Consider the following 22,002-nt stretch of genomic DNA (forward strand, 5'->3'; position numbering starts at 1 on the left):
CCTTAGGAAGATCTGAGAGAGTTTGTTCACATAATATTATAGCATTCAACGTGTTTATTTAGTCTTATTAAATTTTGACTGCAATTTAAAAAAAATTTGCATAGTTGCATGGTTGAAAATAATCAGTGGTGATGTTACTCAGTTGTGCAAAATATTTGGGATAATAGGCAGCACTATTCGTGCTTATGTTCTCATTCATATTGGCAGCAGCTTCTTCCCTTATCCTGTTAACAAGAGATTATAATTTATGAATGGTAATTTGAAAAGTGGACTCTGTGTTGAACTTTGGTTTAAGGCTCAGGAGATTTGCATCAACACCAATGAATAAACTAACCTCTTAGAGGTTGCTTTTTATCTTTCCTAGTTCCTGTCCACCAAAATGGTCACTATACCAAGAAAATTCCTTGAAATAGATTATCTCAGAACCTAAGCCATTGCTAAATCTGAAGGTTGGACTTCCTTTGGGATGGTTTTCATTTACATTCACCTTCCTCATGTAACTCAGATTTAGGTCTCATTCTAGCTTGGCCTGTGTCTGGTTTGGGCCAATCTCTTAAATCTTCCTGGACATCAGTTTCCTTATTTTTTTTTTTTTTTTGAGACAGAGTTTCGCTCTTGTTACCCAGGCTGGAGTGCAATGGCGCAATCTCGGCTCACTGCAGCCTCTGCCTCCCAGGTTCAAGCGATTCACCTGCCTCAGCCTCTCGAGTAGCTGAGATTATAGGCACCCACCACCACGCCCAGCTAATTTTTTGTATTTTTAGTAGAGACGGGGTTTCACCATGTTGGCCAGGCTGGTCTTGAACTCCTGACCCCAGATGATCTGCCCGCCTTGGCCTCTCAAAGTGTTGGGATTACAGATGTGAGCCACCGCACCCAGCCCAGTTTCCTTATTTTTAAAATCAGGTTATTTGCTAAAATAGCTAGGAAGACTTTTCAAGCTCAAATATCCTACCGTGGGTTCTTTTATCATCTTATTGCCCCTGTCCTTTTTCTCTTCCTCCCTGACTGGTGAGCTGGTCCTCCTACCTGCCCTAGCATGGCACATGTAGATACACTGTGTTATTCAGCACTTTGCTTTGACCTAGAGGTTTTCTTCAACTTGGAGGGCTGAGAAGCAATGTTTGCTTGTGTCGTTTGGAATGGTGCCTGTTGGCGTGCACAGATCCTTTCCACAAAGGGCCTGTGAGTCCCTTCCTTTTAGGAAGCACATTCCTGACAGTGGTTGCAAAAGTAGAGAGGGATTGCAGAGTGAACACAGATTCTTGTGTCAGAGCGACATTCCTAAATGGCAATGTTCAGCAGACTTAGGTGATTGTGATCTATGGGGGATATGGGGAATGAGTAGGTATGCGATTCATTATGAATGTCACACAAATGAAGTGTCCAAGGGTTTGGAGCAAGGAAGCACTTCATAATACCTCACAGCTTCTGGATTATTTTGTTACATTTTTGTTTAATTGAGGGTACAACCAGTTAAGTTACAAAGCACTTCAAGTGAAATCATTGTTTCATCAAGAAGTGTCTGTATTTTATGAGGTAAACTAAGATTATTCCCGATTTGATTCACAGGTATTCTAATTTCATCATTAGATGCAAAAGGACAAGTGAGGTACAAGCTGTTTTTTGATGAGATGTGCATGGGAAGTGTTTCTATAAAACAGTTGTCTGCCACGTGGGAAGGCAGGTCTGGGCTGTTAGAAGTAGAAGAAAGAGATTTAAAGAGCTGGGAAGGAGGGAGAAAATAAAGAAAGGTGGCCTGTGAGGATATGTACAGACAGAGAGGTAGCAGGCGCTTAAGGCCAAGAGGTGAGCTGTCCCTGTCTGGGCAGAAGAAGTGCGCTAGGGGCAGCTGCCTGCACCCCCTGCTCTGAATTCCTGCAACAGCGGTCCCAGGAGAACAAGAGACAGGTCCTGACAAGCAGTAGAGTCGGTGCAGCGCGCCCGGGTTCGGATAGGGTTAAGGCCAACACCTGCAGCTGAAGTACGACCCACATGGGAAGTAGGAAGTGCGGCGCCTGAGCTTCCTGTATAAATAAACGCGCTGCTACCGCTGCTGGCGAGCTGTGCCCCACGCTCCCGCTGCAACAGTCCCGGGCATCGCAGCTGCCAGTCAAGGCTAGGAGGCGGTCGGGGACTCCGCCTCCTCCCGACCCGTAGGTCTGGGAGCGCAAGTCCTGTTGCAGTCTTGCAAAGTGTAAAGCTGTCAGCCGCAGAGCACGGAGGAAAGACGGAGAGAATGGAAGAGCTCCTGTCCGGTGTGCCAGCAGCCCGGACTGGCGGTGAGCGCGAGGGAGGCTACTGAGAAGCCCGGCGACGGAGGAACGCAGGTCTGCTGCCAGGTAGGTTTAGCGAGCTTTTTAAAGGCTACAGGCGTTGCAAGACCGGAATGGTGTTGCTGGACTAAGGAAAAAGGACAGGAAACTCACTGTGACACCACAATTTTTCGATTTTCTGTCTCTAGTGCTCAAACCATACAGAACTGAATTCATTCTGAATGCCTTAAACACCTGTTAACTTAGAAGAAAAATGCCTTTGTTAAAGGAAAGTAGTTTCATTTCTAATAAAACAGTTTCTATAATAGAATGTATTGTAGAATCCGAGATTAGACCAGACCTCTCCCTAGGTCTTAAGGGGAGACCAAAAGTTGGCATAATCTCGGATTATGCATTATAGTGCTTATTTTATCAGGTAATTGCTAATGAAACAGTGAAACTCTGATACTACGAGAGCCATTCTCAAATTTAAGTTAAAATCGAACTGATTGTCGTTTGTGCAGGGAAAAGGTAGGTATCTTTTGCTTATTCTTTCTAAAACACCTTTTGTTTTTCTCATGAGTTTCAAGGATCCTGCTGTAAGTCTACTCCTCATGCATATACACTATTCACATAAAGATTTCCCAGAAATTAATTCCCTTCTCTGGGAAATGTTCTTTTTTCATGTTCTCATAACAGACTGTCAGTTTCATATTGCTTTCTGCCACATGTATCTTATCAAAACATTAGCTCTGAGGTTCTTAACAGGACTATCTCTGCTCTTCCGATTTGGCATTTCTGGACGTTTATTTGAACATTGAGAGGTATAAATTAAATGGCAATGTATCTAACATTTCTGAGGAAGCAGATTAGGGGGTGTCTGTGCCCAGAAGCAAAATAAATGAACTTTGGGATGACTCAGTTTTTAGGGTGTGGGTAAGAGGCAAAAGGAACCTAGCCAGTCCTAACTGAGTTGCTGGCTAATTAGAGTATCTGTCTGCCGCAGCTTTCACTGAAATGAGCCTCTTGGTCCCTTTCACATCAAATCCCTCTGTGAGTCCCTCCTTCTCCTTAGTTTATCTTTCCTTCACAACCTGGGTCCTTTTCATGGACAGCAGTGCCTTAAATACTTCTAAAACTATCCTGAGGGGGAGAAAAACCTATAGCAGATCCACAAAGCCACTTGTAGATAATTGTATTATGAAATCCAAGGTCATGGTTTCACACAACTCCTGCTCTGCCCTTGCACACCTTTGACTGGCATTTTTTTTTTTATTTTTGTCGTGGGCATAAACTTAGAAAAGTGGGAAAGGGAAAAACCTCAGTTTCAAAAGTAGTCTCTGACTAATTAATTATCTTGATTAAAAAAAGGTAAACATATATAGTGAACGTGAAAAAGATGTTGAGTAGTAGAATTGGGTTGCTTGGCTTTTTATTTAAAACAAACAAAACTCAACCAAAAAAACCCCCCAAAACCCCAAACAATCACCCTAGATAACTTTCTCCTACACTACTGTGCTGGAAGTCGGGCTTGAGTGTGGTCAAATCCTGCCCATTTACCCAGAGTTTTACAAATATTTACAGTCATCTATGCCAAATATCTTTGTGCTGAGTCCCAAAGAACATTCTCAGCATTCAAAAGGCCCATTCTCATGAATGGTTTCAGTTCATTGGCAATTTAAAGGCATTCAGGCTTCCAAACTAGGTCAGCTTAAGACATGTCTTTTTAAAATAATCAGTTTTTGGGTCTCAGATTATGAACCAGGTTTTTGGAGCCAAACTCTACAGCAGAGAGAAGAGTATGCTCTCTCTGGAAAGAAAAAGCTTATTTTATCTACCTGGTATGACCATTTAACTTCCTGAAAAACGTCTTTCTCCTCAGTAGTATGAATATTTTTCATCTGAGGAGGTGCACTTAAAATTTCCTTCTTGAAAAGTCATTTCAATATTTTAGACGTTTAGAAACATTTATATGTATGTCAGAATCCTTTCTCCGAAGTGTTTCTGCTAATCCTGGCTTCTTTGTTTCCCCTGGCCTTGACTTTATGACATTACTTTCTTGGAGAGTGAAGTTTTTAGTGTTTGAAATCTCCAGTTTGAGATAGAGGTCAGGAATCATGCTGAACCCAGATGTTACTGAAGGAACAAAGTCTGAGCAGTTTTGGGACTAAGCCTACTTTGTACAACTGATTATTTTGGATGTGGGAAAAGGGCCAAGCTGCCAGACAAGTCATGCTTTTCACTTGGACTTTGGGGAATAGGTATCTGTAGCCATTGCTCCTAAGTACTGAAACATTTCTTTCAGGGGTGCCTACCTTAATTTATAGAAGCTCCTTACCTGAAACAAATGGTCAATATTTTCAGCTTGTGAATTTCTGGAAGTGAATACAGATGAGAACCAGGCCTTTAATATTTTCTCTCCTCCAAGTACAATCAGAAAAGTTATCCACTCTACTACTGAGTGACTGATTTGCTAGGTGCTAGGTTAGATGCTGGGATATAAAGATGGCTAAGATGTGGTCTCTGTCCGGAAGAAATTCTCATAAGGTCAGAAGTGACTTGGGTCTAGAGTGGTAGTTCTGAATTCACATTGCTTTGCCAGATTATAAAAAGTACTTCGATGTTTGTCACCTCGATCATCTTAATTTTCTTGGTAGTGTTACCTTGACCATTTGACCATTAAGAGGTATATGACACCTAAGTTAATTTATGTAAATATTTTAATTCATAATTTTTACCTTTAGGTGTATGTGGGAGGTCTTGGACTAAAGTTTTAGTTTTATTAACTTTGGCATTTGCTATTTACCCAGTCGGTGAGTACTTTGGAACCTAATGCATCATACCATAGTTGTTATTAAAAAATGGATAACTATATATTAAATGAGTAAAAATGACCAATGCTTCTGCAACGTGGAATGAGGATCTTCTCATCTATGAGCAGATCTCTTTCTTGAATTCAAAACACAGCAATCTAAGTGAAATAGACTTTTCTTATTCATAGCTGGAGATACTTCTGATCACATGGCTTGGAGTATTTATTAAGAGCATACTTTGAAAGCCATGTCCCATTGTTTTCTAAATCTTTTGAAGTCACGAGTTTGAGTCCCAGCCCTTCATCAACTTGTTCTTTGTTTTTCTTGGGAAGATAAAACAAGACAACTCGTTTCTGTCTGTTGAACTTGTGGCTGAAACCATAAACCCACACATTCTCCTGCATATGATTATATGAAATCCTCTGTTGAAAACCTCCTCAACTAGTTGACTCTTAATAAGTAGGAGCTGGGTTTAATCACCTTTACATCCCTAGCACCTAATGTGTAGAATTTGTTCTTTGTGTGTTGACTTTGTTTCCTTCATGATAAATTCCTGTTATAGGAAATTAATTGGCAAAGACATACAAAAATCTACACCTGCACTTTGCTCAGGTGGGGTGAAGATTCCTCTTCCAAACTGGTTTCCAATTTGTTTCTAATTAAAATTTCTATATGAAACTTTTAACTTTAACAGGAGGGGGTAATATTGGCACATGCTTTTATTCATTTGAAAAAAAATTTTTGATTTAGATATTCGTGCTTTAGCGGCTCTGGTTTTCTGGTAATGTCCTGACCCAAGAAATCAGCCTGGCTCTTGCTCTATAAGGCTCTTTGAAATACCACTTCTCCTTGATTGGTCAATTACATCATTGTCTGACCTGCCTTTAAGTGGCGTTCCTTCCTGCTTCTGAGCTTTGTTGTTATGCCAGGCATAGGGAAGAAAATTATTTAGCAGGGCTGTGTGAATAATTGTGGGAGGCAGGGAACCACTGATTAAAACAGGAGTGGGCAAGGCACAGTGGTGATATTGAAGAGGTAGCTACCATGATGAATGCAAAATTGCCATGCCAAAAATATCATTGAGCTGTTATTCTCATATTCACTCCCACCTTCTTTGATAAGTTTATATTGTTTGGAAAACTGGGAATGGATTTCTACCTCTTGGGCCTTACCCTGTAGGGTAATGAGAACATGGAAAGAAGGCAAGAAGAAATGTGCTTTTAAGAAAAAGCCAGTTGCGGTGGCTCATGCCTGTAATCCCAGCACTTTGGGAGGCTGAGGTGGGCTGATCACGAGGTCAGGAGATCGAGACCATCCTGGCAAACACGGTGAAACCACATCTCTACTAAAAATACAAAAAAATTAGCCAAGCGTGGTGGTGGGCGCCTGTAGTCCCAGCTACTCGGGAGGCTGAGGCAGGAGGATGGCGTGAACCCAGGAGGCGGAGCTTGCAGTGAGCCGAGATCGGGCCACTGCACTCCAGCCTGGGGGACAGAGCCAGACTCCATCTCAAAAAAAAAGGAGCAGCAGTTTGCAAATGTTAAAACTAGATGTGCCAAGGGCCAGGCGCGGTGACTTACGCCTGTAATCCCAGCACTTTGGGAGGCCGACGCGGGAGGATCACGGAGGTCAGGAGATCGAGACCATCCTGGCTAACATGGTGAAACCCCATCTCTACTAAAAAAAAAAAAAAAAAAAAAAAAAAATTAGGTGTGGTGGCAGGTGCCTGTAGTCCCAGCTACTTGGGAGGCTGAGGCAGGAGAATGGCGTGAACCCAGGAGGCAGAGCTTGCAGCAAGCTGAGATAGCACCACTGCACTGCAGCCTGGGCGACAGAGCGAGACTCCGTCTCAAAAAAAAAACGATGTGCCAGATGTTCTGTCCTCTGTAGGATTTGGAGTTAGCTTATCACAACGTCATGTACATTGTTGGCCATGCTTGGACATCAGCACCAATATATATTTTGTAAGAAAAAATATTAGATCTCACTAAATTAGTTGTAACAGACTTTATTCATAACCTAATTTCAAGCAGCAAAGAGATTGTTTGGAAAACAGTTCTTGCTAATACTTTAAGATGCTTCTCCTTCCTGATGAAGTGCCTACTTTTTTTTTTTAACCCACAAAAAGGTTAATAGGGCTATATTTGCATATCAGTTCCATTTTTAGAAGGTTAATAGTCTCCAAGTTACAAAGTTGTGATCTCATTGCCATCCTAGAAACTGTTGAAATGACGATGTTAAAACTAAGAAATTATAGACTAAATAAAGTGCTTTTTGAGCACTTTAAGCCATGAAACAGTGGCGAGAAAACAGAAGTCCTCTTCTCTACCACAGGAGGCACAGTGATACAATACTGCCACCTCACAGAGCCTGAATAGGTGAATATTTACTTTCTTACATCTAAGACCTAAATATTTCCTGGGTTTGTTTATGCTAGAGGATATTTTCTAATCTATTTCATTTTTTCAAATAATGACAACTTATGTGTAATATCATGTATGTACTCATTGAGTTTGAGCATTATTCTTTTAAAAAGGGCAGATCATGAGGTCAGGAGATCAAGACCATCCTGGCTAACATGGTGAAACCCCGTCTCTACTAAAAAATACAAAAAATTAGCTGGGCGTGATGGCGGGCACCTGTAGTCCCAGCTACTAGGGAGCCTGAGGCAGGAGAATGGTGTGAACCCAGGAGGCAGAGCTTGCAGCGAGCCGAGATCGCGCCACTGCACTCCAGCCTGGAGACAGAGTGAGACTCCATCTCAAAAAAAAAAAAAAAAAGTAATTAATAGATATACAGTTTATTTAAGTAATTGCAGTTCCCTGACTACGAGAGGGGCAGCCTATGTTTCCATTTGTTCATGTCCTCTTAGGTTAGGGCATGCATTAGAACTGTTTTTCTGATTGAAAGAATGTACGCTGGTTCATCTTGTCCTTGAATGACCAGAGAGCTGGTTGGAGATGCAAGCGGAGAGTAGAGCTACAACACTGGCCACAAAGGAGGTCTACCATAAGCCCTTGCTTCCTTCATTGCTGTTGCTACTGCTACCAGCCAGCAGGTCACCCTGCCATTGTATTTGGATTGTATTTAGGGTAGAACTTCAGCTAATGGCTGATAATGCTCAGCACTTTACTAGACTCAATTAGTACCATTGGGTTCACTAATAGTTTCTGTTAGGAAAAGGAACCAGTAGCTAACCAAACTACTCTATTGGGCAGAAGTACCAAGATCAACATAATGCTGATTTTCAGATTGCATTGAGTGGAAACTGGTTGCCTGGTGTGTTCTTAGCTGATATGGGGATAGCTTTCCTAACAAGGCAAGGATGGGACCTTTAGATTGCTGCTCTTTTTTTCTGCTTTATTAGAATATTAGCTTCCCGAGAATATGTCTCCATTTTACAAGGCAACACTTCAGCCTTTCTTCATCACCACCCACCCTTCTCAAAAACTTTCCCCTTTGCTACCTCCCTCCCATATTTATGCATTCATATCTGTTATTCTAGCTACTTCACAGTGATGACTCGATGTCTCACAAAGGCATATAAACACATTGAGAGTATACATATGTCTCCTCTTCTGTTTGTCCCCTGTACTTGAGTAACTCTTAGAATTTCATAGCATAGCTTGGAATTAAGACCTCAGTGCAGATCAACTGGATTTTTATTTACATTAATATCCTGTGGCATCAGTAATATCTAGCTGATTCATTTTAGTAGCTTTCTATTTCTCTTAGTCTCCTTAGTTGTGCTTTAGCAGTTTCTCCAAATTTTAAAGTTTCTGCATAATAAAGTAAAAATTCCAAAATAATTAGGGATAAGTGTCCTAATAATAATTAGGGTAAGTATCCTAATAAAACATTATCCCTTCCAATTACACTATCTTTTTGTGTAAGGGAATAACTGTGTTGATTTTGGATAATCAAACAGACATAAACTACATTGGTTAAAAATACTTTGAATAGCTGGGTGTGGTGGCTTACACCTGTAATCCCAGCACTTTGGGAGGCCGAGGTGGGCGGATCATGAGGTCAGGAGTTCAAGACCAGCCTGGTCAATATGGTGAAACCTCGTCTCTACTAAAAATACAAAAATTAGCCCGGCGTGGTGGTGGGCACCTGAAATCCCATCTACTTGGAACGCTGAGGCAGGAGAATTGGTTGAACCCGGGAGGTGGAGGTTGCAGTGAGCTGAGATCATGCCACTGCACTCTAGCGTGGATGACAGAGTGATACTCCGTCCCCTACCCCCCAACCAAGAAAAAAAAAAAAAAGCTTTGAATGTTGGCTCTCCCATCATTTGCATTTTTGGAGCAGATTGCTTTTTCAGGCCATCAGCAGAATATGAAAATTCCTTATACATTCTGTGCTGAAGTATTCCCTTCTTTGACAATTCTAATGACAAGACACGAGGGGAAAGGCGACTTTCCATTCTTTCCTATCAGATAGTACTTGCTTCTCATATAATGAACACTTTATAGTGCAAGAGACACATAGAGCAGGTAGAACTGCTGGTTCTCCTTTCCTGGTAATTTAGTGCAAACTCAGACGTTTCAGAATGGCTTTCCTTCCTTACATGGCCCAACCAATCTGTCTTGTTCTATGATTAGGTATATATAAGCAAGTGATACCTGCTACCAACCTTAGAATGCCTAAACTTGAAAGGCAGCTGTCAGATTTCAAGGTGCCCCTTGCATTCTCTGCCAAAATTCTTTTCACAAGGGGTTCTTGACACTCGGTGAGAGGCACAGTCACATCTATAATCACTGTAAAAGTAATTATAATTGTTAGCTTTTAAAATCAAGTGGTAGGGTGGATAATTCAAGTCACTTTCTTATTTTTGATAGAAATGTGAGGTATGAGGCAGTAGGAGTGAGTTAGCCTCTTTCTGGAATGAAGACTTTTCTTGAAACCTGGAGGGGAGTGGATGTGAATTGCTTGTGCCCCTGTGAAGTTGTGGCCCAATGGGAGGGACAGGAGGAGCTGGGAGTGTGTTATCAAATGCCCTGAGCTTCCTGAGGCTCTACTATTGGGGGTTTCATGCTGTGAAGACCGGTGAATAGTAATATGACACAAAGGAAGAAATGCAAGGAAACCTTGGAGCCATTCACAGGCATCTCAGGTGTGGGGAAATTCATTAGAGGCTTTCAGGATTCTCCTGTTTACTGATTGAAGAGCTCATTTTGCAATGAATCAATGGTGAAAGGATTTCTTGTTTGATATTCTTTTTTTTTTTTAAATGAAGTGCTCACTGCATTTCATTCATTTTTTTAACTATCCATTGTTGGTTTTGCCCAAAGTGAGAAACGAAAGGGTTGGTTTTTAGTCTGTGCATGGTGCAGGTTTAGGCTTCTGCAATGGTGCCTGGGGGGCTGCTGAGTGGGGAAGGTCAAGGGGACTGGCTCTGGACACCCACTATTGGGTGCTGGCACTTGTCTACCTGAATCTCTTTTATACAGTGGTGGTTTGACTAAGATTTTTGTTTTTGAAAGCTCATTGCTTGAAAAATGTCTGAGAGCCATTGCTTTAGGGAATTGGTGTTATTGTACACAGAAAAATAAATCACTTTTTGAAGAATCATTTTGGATTGTTCACATCTCAAGGAGATGAAATATGTAACTTTTTTCCTCTATGTCACTGAGTCATAAGTCCTGCCTTTTTGGAATGCTTGGAATTTTTTAAAAAACAAAATGCATCTCTGCTATGTAAAGGTTTTTCTATTATAAAAATTACATATGTTTTTTATAACTTTGACTTCATAGCCTATAGGCATGTAACTCCTTAGTTTTAAGGAGTAAAAACTTACGTACTGTTTATAGTAAGAGACAATTATGTTTCACATGGTCTTGATTACCACAATTTTTAGTTCTACCTTCAAAAGAAGACTATTTCTAAGAAATATCTAATTATAGGTATTCCATTATGGATAATAATTGAGGTATTATTAGAGGAATCCAATATGTCTTTCAAGAGTATCCAATTAATTTCTAAGAGGTATCCCAATTATGTCTTTGTTTTTCAAGAGTACATTAAAACTTTGGCCTGTTTAATATTTCCTTCTAAAAAAATAATATAGAGTAAGACTGAGAAATACTTGGATTTCTCGAAGAGTACCTAGATCTCTTGCTAGGTCAGAACAACAGGATTGGCTATTCACACCAGCTTTCTCCACATGGCTAAGTGTATTTGACATTTGGGGTGTGGGATGGTTCTGGCCTGTGTCATTACCCTTTTTCTCCTACTCAGGAAGCATTTACTACCTACGTTTCTTCTTGTTGTTTTACTTGGGATTTCTCTTGAAAGAAAGATAATTCAGAATAGATTGCATAAGCAGTGAAGCAGCGTTGAGAATGTACAGGTGAGAAGACAACAGATGGGAAGTTGGTGGGACTGTGTGCCATGAGCCCGGGAGTACTGGAGACGCAAGCTGATGACAGTTGTTTAAGCATGAACTGGGAGGAAGGAAAAGGTAAAGTCATTCATTTTTACCCGTATGTTTATCATAAAGAGAGATTTTTTACAAAAACTCAAAATCCTGAATTTGACGTGCAGGTCTATTTGAATTTAATTTGCTCTTGGATGACAGCTCCTCAGTAGTTAATGGAATAACGCTGTGTCTTGAACTTTATCCGGCATTTGCTGAGAAAAAAACCATGTCTTCCACATGGAAACTAACCATTAGTTAGCTTCCTATTTAATTATTTTGAATCAGGTTTTCTGGTACTGAGTACTGGGAGTAGGTGAAAAACCTTGAATGCTTCAGGTTGCTCGAGTTAGTAATCGTTGACTTTCTGGTATGACATTAAGAAAGTGGATGTGGACAGATTGACAAGCAAATATCTCATTTATTTTTTTCCTTTTCTATCTAATCGAATTTGATTTTCCCCTACTTGTTTTAGTACTTTTGTACTTACATATTGAGACTTAAGCTATTGTTGGGAGTAGGTAGCAAATGATTACATGTAATTTCTTTTGTCTGAAAATTAAGAGGAAAAGAGCTTGGTTCTTGTAGGGGGAGGTGTATTTGCAATTATTTCTATGGCAGAATTTATTAGAATTGGCCACTCTTTAAAAATAGTAAGAACTATAGGATTTTGCTTTTGTTTAACCAGAACATGAAATTTCCAGATGTGATATAAAATATGAATATGTGGAGAAATTATTTTCACAATTATTTAGTCTCTTTTAAAGATAAAGATTCAGAATAAAAACAATCTAGTAGAAGAACTTTGGCTGTAGTTTTTATTTTTCAGTCTAAAGATGTCTTTTCCCATGGTCATGCTGTGTGGGGAGACAAATTTTGTTTCTGTGCAGCTTCAGGGACCTTAAGGATAGCTGTAGTCATGGACTTCAACTCTCTTTTCCTCTTTCTGTCCCCCTTCCTCCTTCTTTTCTCTGCTTCGTCTGTCCATGTGATATCCACACAAGGCAGCTCTGGTGTAATGGATCTGGCACTGGGCTTGGTGGCCTCAGAAGGCTGAGGATTGTCTTCTGCTCTGCCATGTACAAGCTCTGAGAACTTTGGCAGATTACCTAACTTATCAGTATCACAATTAATCTATAAAATGGGGAAAACAATTATTTCATCATCCCAAGCAGAAACTCTGTACCCGTTGAACATGCCAGGTGAGGAAGCATACCCTGACTCGGGAGGTGGAGTCGGGAGGGTCATGTCAGTCCAGGAGTTCGAGGCTGCAGTGAGCTATGATTGTGCCACCACACTCGAGCCTGGGCAACAGAGAGAGACCCTTTCTCTAGGAAAAAAAAACCCCACAAACAGTAACTCTTCATTTCCCCCTCCCACCAGCCCCTGGTAACCTCTATTCTTCTTTTTGTCTCTCAGAATTGACTACTCTAGGTACCTCATTTAAGTGGAATCATACAATATTTGATTTTCTGTCTGGTTTATTTCAGTTAGCATGATGTCTTCAAGGTTCATCCATGTTGTAGCATGTGTCAGAATTTTATTTCTTTTTATTCCACTGTATATATAGACCACATTTTGTTTGTTCTTCTGTCTTTTTAATTTTTTATTTTTTGAGACGTTTCATTCTGTCACCCAGGCTGGAGTGTGGTGACGCAATCTTGACTCACTGCAACCTCTGCCTCCTGGGTTCAAGTGATTCTCCCGCCTCAGCCTCCTGAGTAGCTGGGATTACAGATGTGCCACTGTGCCTGGCTAATTTTGTATTTTTGTATTTTTTGTAATTTTGTATTTTTAGTAGAGACGAGGTTTCACCATGTTGGCCAGGCTGGTCTTGAACTCCTGACCTCAAGCAATCCACCTGCCTCGGCCTCCCACAGTGCTGGGATTACAGGCATGAGCCACTGCGCCCAGCCTCATTCTTCTGCTGATGGACACTTGGGTTGCCTCCACTGTTTGGCTATTGTGAATAATGTTGCTATGAATATGGGTGTACAAATATCTCTTTGAGACCCTGCTTTCAGTTCTTTTGGGTATATACCCGATTGCTGGATCATATGTTACCTCTTTGTTTAACTTTTTGAATGACATTCTATTTTAAGTACTTTTTGAGTCTGTTGAATTGATTGTAGTGATGCAACTCCTAAATATGTTTGCTCATAGTGATATTTCCCGCCCCTGACCTTCATTAAGGTATAATTGACAAATTACATTTGCAGTATACAATGTGATGTTTTGCTCTATGTATATAAATGCTTAAATCAAGCTAATGAACATCATCACTTCACATTTTTCTTTGTGTGTGTGTGGTGAGATCATTTAAAATCTACTCTTGGCCATTTTCAAGTATACAGTGTATTATTACTAACTCTAGTCACCAAGCTGCGTGAGAGCTCCCCAGAACTTATTCATCTCATCTAAATGAAACTTTGTAAGCTTGACCAACATCTCCCCATTCCCACCCCACCATAGTGGTCTTTTAATTTCCATAGCTCATATGATGTGAATCAGGACAGTGAGGTCAGCTTACATTTCAGGACTTCAGGGATACCTTGCCGAGGTAGGTGAACCACTCTCTAGCCCGTCGTTCCCAGAAATGCATTAGCTGTAAGTTTTGGGATAACTGAGGGTGAGAATTTGATCAGCTGGCCTCCAGACGTGTTGGCTAAACAATAGCTTTATCAATCCATATAATATTTTCTGCTTTGGACCTTTCTATAGGGATTGAGGAGACTGAAGAATGCTGAAGACAGGCTGATGGGCTCAGCTGGTAGGCTCCACTATCTCGCCATGACTGCTGAAAATCCCACTCCTGGAGACCTGGCTCCGGCCCCCCTCATCACTTGCAAACTCTGCCTGTGTGAGCAGTCTCTGGACAAGATGACCACACTCCAGGAATGCCAGTGCATCTTTTGCACAGCTGTGAGTTTTCCTTGATGCTTTCACTATGAGAAAATACAAAGGGAAAAATCATAAAAGTAGGATATATTTCTGTGGTTTACTGAGAAACCAGAGTGTGCTACAATATGATCCTGCTTTGGAAAGCATTTCATATTTGAACCTATTTCCAAATAGTATCTTAAATGGTAAATCCTGGGTTTACTTGTTTTAGCTGAGTATAATTTATGTTTGAAATTTAATTATTGGTTGAATAAATAGTCTTTCTGTTAAGGTTCAAACTATGGAACAGAATAGAAAAATTTTAACATGCTGGCCAGGTGCGTTGCCTCACACCTGTAATCCCAGCACTTTGGGAGGCCGAGGCGGGCGGATCACAAGGTCAGAAGATCGAGACCATCCTAGCTAACATGGTAAAACCCCGTCTCTACTAAAAATACAAAAGAAATTAGCTGGGCTTGGTGGCGGGCGCCTGTAGTCCCAGCTACTCGGGAGGCGGAGGCAGGAGAATGGCGTGAACCTGGGAGGCAGAGCTTGCAGTGAGCCGAGATCAGGCCACTGCACTCCAGCCTGGGCGACAGAGCGAGACTCTGTCTCAAAAAAAAAAAAAAAAATTTAACATGCTGTAGTTAACTACCACCTATAAGAAACTCACCAGGTATTTTAAATGATGGAGAAGTCAGGTAGTAATTTACTTTATGTACTGAATTTTCATTCATATACTTGTTCATCTTCTACAATGTACATGATATAAATTGTACTTTGTCATAGCTCCTTTTATGCTGTTTTCACAGTATGCTGAATCCTTCTTATTCCACTTAATGAGAGCCCTATAGACCTGCAGAAGTGGGCTTATCTCTTTTAGTGTGACACCTGGTATCAACACCTGTGACCTTTACTGCCACTTTTCCTTGAAGGTTGGTCGGTTAAGGTATAAAGGTAGGAAATAGATTGAGTTCCTGTAGGCTTCAGTGATGACACAGAATAGCATTGTTCATTTAATCAACAAATATCTGTTGAGCAGGAACTATGTCCCAGGAATGGTTCTAGGCACGAGGATTTATCAGTTAAGGAAACAAAACCCAGCGAAGTTTCTTGCTTTTAGGAGCTTATATTCTATATAAGAACGTTGTGTAGGAGTTCAGGGCTTAGAGGATGTTGCTGTTTTAGGTAGGGGGATCAGAAGTAGGCCTTGCTGAGGAGTGATGTTTGTGCTGCCTCTCCTTCCTCTTGTTGTTAGTGTGTGTTGCTTTATAGGAAGTGAGGAAATGGCCTTGTCATCTCAGAGCAACTTCAGTTTCCTTTGGTCTTGCTTTGTTTCTGAAGGCTGTCCTTCAAAACAATTATTTCTCTGACTTTCTCACCCTTGCTGCAGACCCTTGCTAATCCTTGAAACAAATGAGTCAGAAGCAACATGTGGTGAAAATCAGTATGCAAATATTTCACTGAGGGTTACTGCTGTTTAAAAGAATTCAATTTTTGCTATGACATTTAACAGTGCAGAATTTAAGCGTGTGCGTCAACATTGGGGAAATAATACATGGTGAAGGTTGTATTTCATCTTCTCAGGGAGCTAACACTGTCCTGTTATTGTTTCAGTAGATTTTAGTTCCTGATTCAAAACAGCATGGCTGCTTCTCATTTCTCTTTCAGCAATTTGAGGGTAGGAGTTAGTACAGTTAGCTTTTTCAGTCATCTAGATTCACACTTCCTCATTGTTAGGGAGTGCTCAAAAGCAGAGAGTCAAATGGCTGAATGTTTTTTGGTATCCCTCAATTTTGGATCCTTTTGCACCTAGAAACATTAACTTTCCCTGGCATCCTGTTACCTGTTACCTGTGAGCTGCCAAAATAGTAAGCGGTGTATGATTACATTAGTGTCTGTAAAATTGTAATTTGAATCAGATTCACCTGAAATACTCCTCTAACTTTCTTTTGGTTAGAGATTTATTTCTTGTTTTTAAAAAAATGACTTAAAATGTGTCTAATACTTCCCAGACTTTAATTTGCATCTGTATTCAGTATCAAATGTTTTGTATTTTCGAGGCTGAAAAGAAATTTGTAACTTTTTCATATGCCACATACTACTGACTTCTACTTTTAAACAGAATTGGATGACATCTCCCAATTGCTTGTGCCTACCATATATTTAAAATGGTTTTACTGAGAACCACCCCCCTGCCCCAGGGAGTATCCACATGTAATGATCTTCCTGCTAGATTTGATGTTATGCCGGTATATACTGGTATATGTAATGTATATATTTTTTCTTTTCATGTTAGATGGATAATGTGCTTATGGTGTAACCAGGTTTGAGGGAGGCATATCTCATGTGACTGGGAGAAGCCAATCATCATGCTTATGAACTACAAGAGGATCTATACTGGTATATTTTCTTGGATTTAATAAAGCTTTAACAATATTCTGTCATTGTCCTGTCTTCTGTAAGAGGCATCCCTGGCCATTTTGCTGTGAGCCTAGCTTTTTTTGTTGTTGTTTCCAAGATCACCACACTCCAATTCCAACTCTACCCCAACTCAGCTGTGTAATTGGGCACATGATTAATCTCTTTGGGCCTCTGATTTCTCCTGTGTAAAATGAAGGTGCTAGGATCCTTCACAGTGCTTCAAATAGGGGGTGCAGTATACTCTGGGTATGCAGAAGGGACAGATGTGGAGTATCTGACTTGACCATTGAATGTTAATCAGTTATTTCCTTATCTTTAGAGAGACCTGGCCTTTAAATAGATGCCCCAAGTGTGTTCCACGGACCACCAGCTCTGGGAAACAGAGATATCCTTGAATGAAATGTTCCATGGTCAAATTAGCTTGGGAACTGCAATGTTCTTCTGTTCCTTTCTTAGAGGGATGTAAGGCACATTTGCATATTAGAGGCTCTGTGAAATCTTGTGGTTAAAGGGAAAGCAGGGGAATCTTGTTTAGCTTCTTCTGATGAAGCATTTCCCTTTGACCGTGCCACCCTTTTGAGTGGAACATCTATTGCCCACAACCAGTGCTCTGAGGAACACTGCTTTAAATTATTTCATGTAGGTAATTCTTGATTTAAATAACATCCAGGGAAAGGAATGTGGTAGATGTTGTCTCAAATAAGCCATCAATATTATCTAGGTTCTTGTTAAAGGATGTTCTAGCTGTGAAGATGGTTTCTGCTAGACTGTTTGCTCAGTTTTAATATGCAGAATAAAGTGTAATATAAAGCAAGAGAAGCTGCATATACAGGAAAAATTGGGCATAGTTCTTACTGGCATGACTGACGTCATAGAACATGAGGTGTATTACAGATCCAAAGAGGTTGATGTCTTGGGGTTACAGAGAAAAAGATGTAGCATAATTACTTGTTCTATTTTGAAGGTTAAATATCTCAGGGATGTTTGTCTGTTTATGACATGCAAAGAGTATCTGTCTCTCCCTTCCTCTCTTTTGCCTGTATATTTAAATAACCCAAATATGAAAATTCTAACTTTCCTTTTCTGGGTTTGCAATGCGTTCTTTCAGATAATGCCACATAATGTTAATTCAAGCGAAATAAATTCACAAGTCAGTTATCAAAGTAATGGAAATTTGTGAGTTTGCTCCCTTGTGTACAATATTTGCTTCTGATTTATTTTAGAAGTGATTTCTGTCAGCCGTGAATTAAGGAATAGTGAAAACACAGTTGTTGCTTGTTTTTATAACTTAGATAATTTCACCTGAAAAGAGTCGGTATGTTGGGCATGGCCTATTTACCTTTCAGATTAAATACAGGATGTGCTAAGCAAAAAGAAAATAAAGTCCAGCCATATTCTTGCCTTTTTTCCATTACGTTCTATTGGCTCTAGGTAGTTAGAACTCCTTTTACTATTCATTTCTTGGAGCCAAATGGATTTTCCAATGTTTAAAAAGTGAGAGGAAATATAAAACATTTTAGACCAAGCCGTTCTTTCCCTTGGGGCCTGTCGGGTGACCTTTAAGAAAAGCCCACAGTTGGTTTGGGAGACCGTCTTAGTCCATTTTGTGTTGCTATAACAGAATACAGAGGCTAGGTAATTTATAAAGAAAAGAGGTTTATTTAGCTCACAGTTTTGCAGGTGGAAAGTTAGAGAAGCACGGTGCTGACATCTACTTGGCTTCTGGTGAAGGTCTCATGCTAGGTCAAAACACAGCAGAGAAGGTCAAAGGGAAAGTGGACATGTGAAAAGAGACAAAACCCAAGGGGCATCCTGGCTTTCTAAAAACTCACTCTGGCAGGAACTATTAAGAATTCATTCCCGCAAGAACTAATTCATTCTCGCCACAGCAAGAACTCAGCCACTACCTAGAGAGTGGCACCAAGCCATTCCCCAACTAGGTCCCACCTCCCAACACTACTACACTGGGGAAGAAATTTCAATGTGAATTTTGGTGGGGATAAACAAACCATATCCAAACCATAGCAGAGACATTTACAGTTTGGGAGGATTTGCAATGTGTATGTGCACACACAGTTTGGTAACTTTCAAATGAAGCATGAATCTGTGGTGGATCTTTCCTGGGTTCTAACTGTTACCTGCATTAGGAGAAAGTAATGCCACTTTCCTATTTCTACCTCTGTTTCTCCCTTGCAGTATAGCATAGTGTGTTAGAATGCAGATATGGAGATAAGAAGACTCAGGCTCAAGTTCAGGCTTTGTCATTTGATGGTGTATGATTTGGGGCAAGTTGTTTGCCTTCTCTAGACTTTAGTTTCTTTGCCTGTAAGACGGAGGGAGGGAGGGGTTGACAATACCTACCTTTATTTCCTAAGATCCATCAGTGTGCTGAGCTGTTACGTTCTTCAAAAAGATTTCAGAGAAAGGAAAGCCTATAATGATTTGACTGGCTTCCTCACTAGCCTTTTATAAAAAGGTGGTTATATAGGTAATTACAACCTCACTGCTATTCTGAGATACTCAGAGATTAGCAGTTAGGATAGAGAGAAATGTCTCTTTTGGATTTGTTCAAAGTGTGGCTTTGAAATATTTAAACTAAATATCTAGAATTAGGACTTAACAGGGAAAAAAAAGTGCCAATACAACTTTGACAGTAAATAGATGAGCACATTTATGGTGGATATAAAAGATTCAGATGAAAGGGTGTTTCAAAGTACCACATATTTAAGAACTTGCTTACTTCCAAGAACATAATAATATAATTACTTGTTGGCTTGATATGTTAGTCTAGTATCATTTTAAGTTCCTTTTATTGAGAATTCTCTGGAACCACAAGAAATAATGAGGGATCTTACTCAAGGCCAATGCCACAGAATGATTCTCTGTCCCCTCTTCTGGTCATGAGACCTGCCAACCTTTCCCAAAGCTTTCAAATTCTCCAGCTCCAGATTCCCACGTCTTCTACTACTATTAAATGGGCCGAACTAAGTTCTGCCAGTTCAAAGCACTGTATTATTCTGTTGGTTTCTGGTACCTAAATATGCTTGCTTGCAAGGTTAGTTTTTTTCTTTATTATTATTATTATTATTATTATTGTTATTATTATTTTTGAGATGGAGTCTTGCTCTGTTGCCCAGGCTGGAGTGCAGTGGCACAATCTCGGCTCACTGTAACTTCCGCCTCCCGGGTTCAAGTGGTTCTCCTGCCTCAGCCTCCGGAGTAGCTGGGATTACAGGCATGTGCCACCAGGCCTGACTAATTTTTTTTGTATTTTTAGTTGAGTTGGGGTTTCACTATGTAGGTCAGGCTGGTCTTGAACTCCTGACCTCGTGATCCACCTGCCTCGGCCTCCCAAAGTGCTGGGATTATAGGCGTGAGCCACCGTGCCCAGCCGCAAGGTTAGTTTTATGCTTTCCCTTAACTTTGCTTGGGGTGGTTAGCAGTAAATCAGTGAATTTGTCTTTGTTTGTGAAATAACTTCAATATACTCACTGCTTATATCCATTAAGAGATTTAATGACAATACTATGGTGACTTTTGTATTTATTGGTCAAGTCACAGGTTTACAATGCCGATTTTATTGGCACTATATTTTTCCACTGACAACGGAGCCACTGCAGGGTCAGATGGCATCTGTGGAAAAAGAGCAAACAGTAACAGCATGAGAAATGGATTAGAGATGACTCAAGGAGGAGCTGGCTTCCTGGACCTATGATCTCATCCATGCCTAATGCTTACCACTTACTTATTCAAGGAAAGTAGTAAAATGTGGCAAGAGAGGAAAGAACAGCAGAAGAAAACCATACTATTAAGGCCCTAATGTCTTTGTCATAGCATCATAGTCCTAGAATTGTAAGTGACCTTAGATCTTCTAGTTCCCCCACCCTCCTAATGAAAGAAGTCATTTTCTGGGATGCCAGTATGGTTTGGCATTTAAGAGAATGGGTCTCAAGTTTGGTAGCTTAGGCTTTATTTATTCAACAAATATTTGCTGTGTCTTGCATAGTTCTGATGGTTTGAATATAGTGGTGAACGATCAGATTAAGCCCTGGTTTTCAAATAACTCAACTTTTCGTATGAGACATAGATGCTAACAAGTAAATACAGAAGTCAGGTGATGGTTTGTGCTATGGAAAAATAGGGTGAGGGGGGTCAGGAGTGCTGTGGGGAAGAGGGACTTCTACTTTATTAGATGATCAGGGAAGTCTCAGTGATAAGGTGTTATTTGAGCAGAGACCTGAAGGAAATGGGGAACAAGCCATACAGATATCTGGGAGAAGAGGGTTGTAGGCAGAGGGAAGCAGTATGGAGGTCTTAAGTTGGGAGTGTGCTTGGTGTATCCTGTTACAGCAAAGGAGGCTGGTGTGGCTGGAAAAGTGTGTGTGTGTGTGTGTGTGTGTGTGTGTGTGTGTGTGTGTGTAGGGGGAGTAGTAGGAGATGAAGGCTAAGTCCCATGATCTTCTCTCTGCAAGCTGGAGACCCAGGAGAACCAGTGGTGTATTTCCAGTCCAAGTCTGAAGGCTTGAGAACTAAGAGAGCCAGTGGTATAAGTCCCAGTCCGAGGGCAGGAGAAAACTGATGTCCCAGCTCAGGCAGTCAGGCAGGGAGACGAATTCTTTCCTCCTTTTGTTCTTTTTAGGCCCTTAATGGATTGGATGATGCCTGCTCGCAATGGGGAGGGTAAACTGCTTTACTCAGTTTACCGATGCAAGTGCTGATTGTATTAGTCTGTTTTCACACTGCTATAAAGAATACCTGAGATCTATAAAGGAAGGAGGTTTAATTGACTCACAGTTCTGCATGGATGGGGAGGCCTCAGGAAACTTACAATCATGGTGGAAGGGGAAGCAGCCACGTCTTACATAGTAGCAGGCGAGAAAGAGAGCACCACACTTATCAAACAACCAGATCTCGTGAGAATTCACTATCATGGGAACAGCATGGGGGATACTGCCCCTATAATCTAGTCACCTCCCACCAGGTCCCTCCCTCAACATCTGGGGGTTATAATTCAAGATGAGATTTGGGTGGGGACACAGAGCCAAGCTATATCACTGATCTTATCCAGAAACACACACACACATGCCCAGAAATGAGGCATATAGGAGGCATCCTGTGGCCAAGATGACACACAAAATTAACCTTTATGCATAGAGAATAAACTACAGGGGCCAGGGTGAAAGCAAGAAGACTACTTAGAAGGCAAACG

At 40.7% G+C, this 22,002-nt stretch overlaps 1 protein-coding gene and 1 non-coding gene across 3 annotated transcripts in view, besides 2 other annotated features; one reads left to right on the plus strand and one right to left on the minus strand.

Annotated features, from left to right (window-relative positions):
• Positions 1 to 2,061: 2,061 nt before the first annotated feature.
• Positions 2,062 to 22,002, plus strand: part of RNF144B (ring finger protein 144B) — an 81,521-nt gene continuing 61,580 nt past the window's right edge. Inside the window, exons 1-2 of one of the 2 annotated variants that reach the window (NM_182757.4) lie at positions 2,062 to 2,342; positions 14,211 to 14,411. In NM_182757.4, coding sequence (NP_877434.2) covers positions 14,247 to 14,411 — 165 coding nt within the window. In that variant the 5' untranslated portion in view covers positions 2,062 to 2,342; positions 14,211 to 14,246. Of the gene's footprint in view, positions 2,343 to 14,210; positions 14,412 to 22,002 lie in introns of those variants that run through there. The other variant, XM_047418594.1, reaches the window with a different exon arrangement.
• Positions 15,482 to 15,581: an enhancer, noted in NCBI's record as "active region_24121". NCBI's record gives its function as "activates an Ori minimal core promoter by ATAC-STARR-seq in GM12878 lymphoblastoid cells {active_cell/tissue: GM12878}" and the evidence as "EXISTENCE:reporter gene assay evidence [ECO:0000049][PMID:35858748]".
• Positions 15,692 to 15,741: an enhancer, noted in NCBI's record as "active region_24122". NCBI's record gives its function as "activates an Ori minimal core promoter by ATAC-STARR-seq in GM12878 lymphoblastoid cells {active_cell/tissue: GM12878}" and the evidence as "EXISTENCE:reporter gene assay evidence [ECO:0000049][PMID:35858748]".
• LOC124901544 (small nucleolar RNA U13) lies at positions 16,663 to 16,764 on the minus strand. The gene has a single exon (XR_007059975.1). It is a non-coding gene; the product is annotated as a small nucleolar RNA U13 (small nucleolar RNA).

The sequence above is a fragment of the Homo sapiens genome, chromosome 6 (assembly GCF_000001405.40).
Source record: "Homo sapiens chromosome 6, GRCh38.p14 Primary Assembly".
NCBI classification, from domain to species: Eukaryota; Metazoa; Chordata; class Mammalia; order Primates; family Hominidae; genus Homo; species Homo sapiens.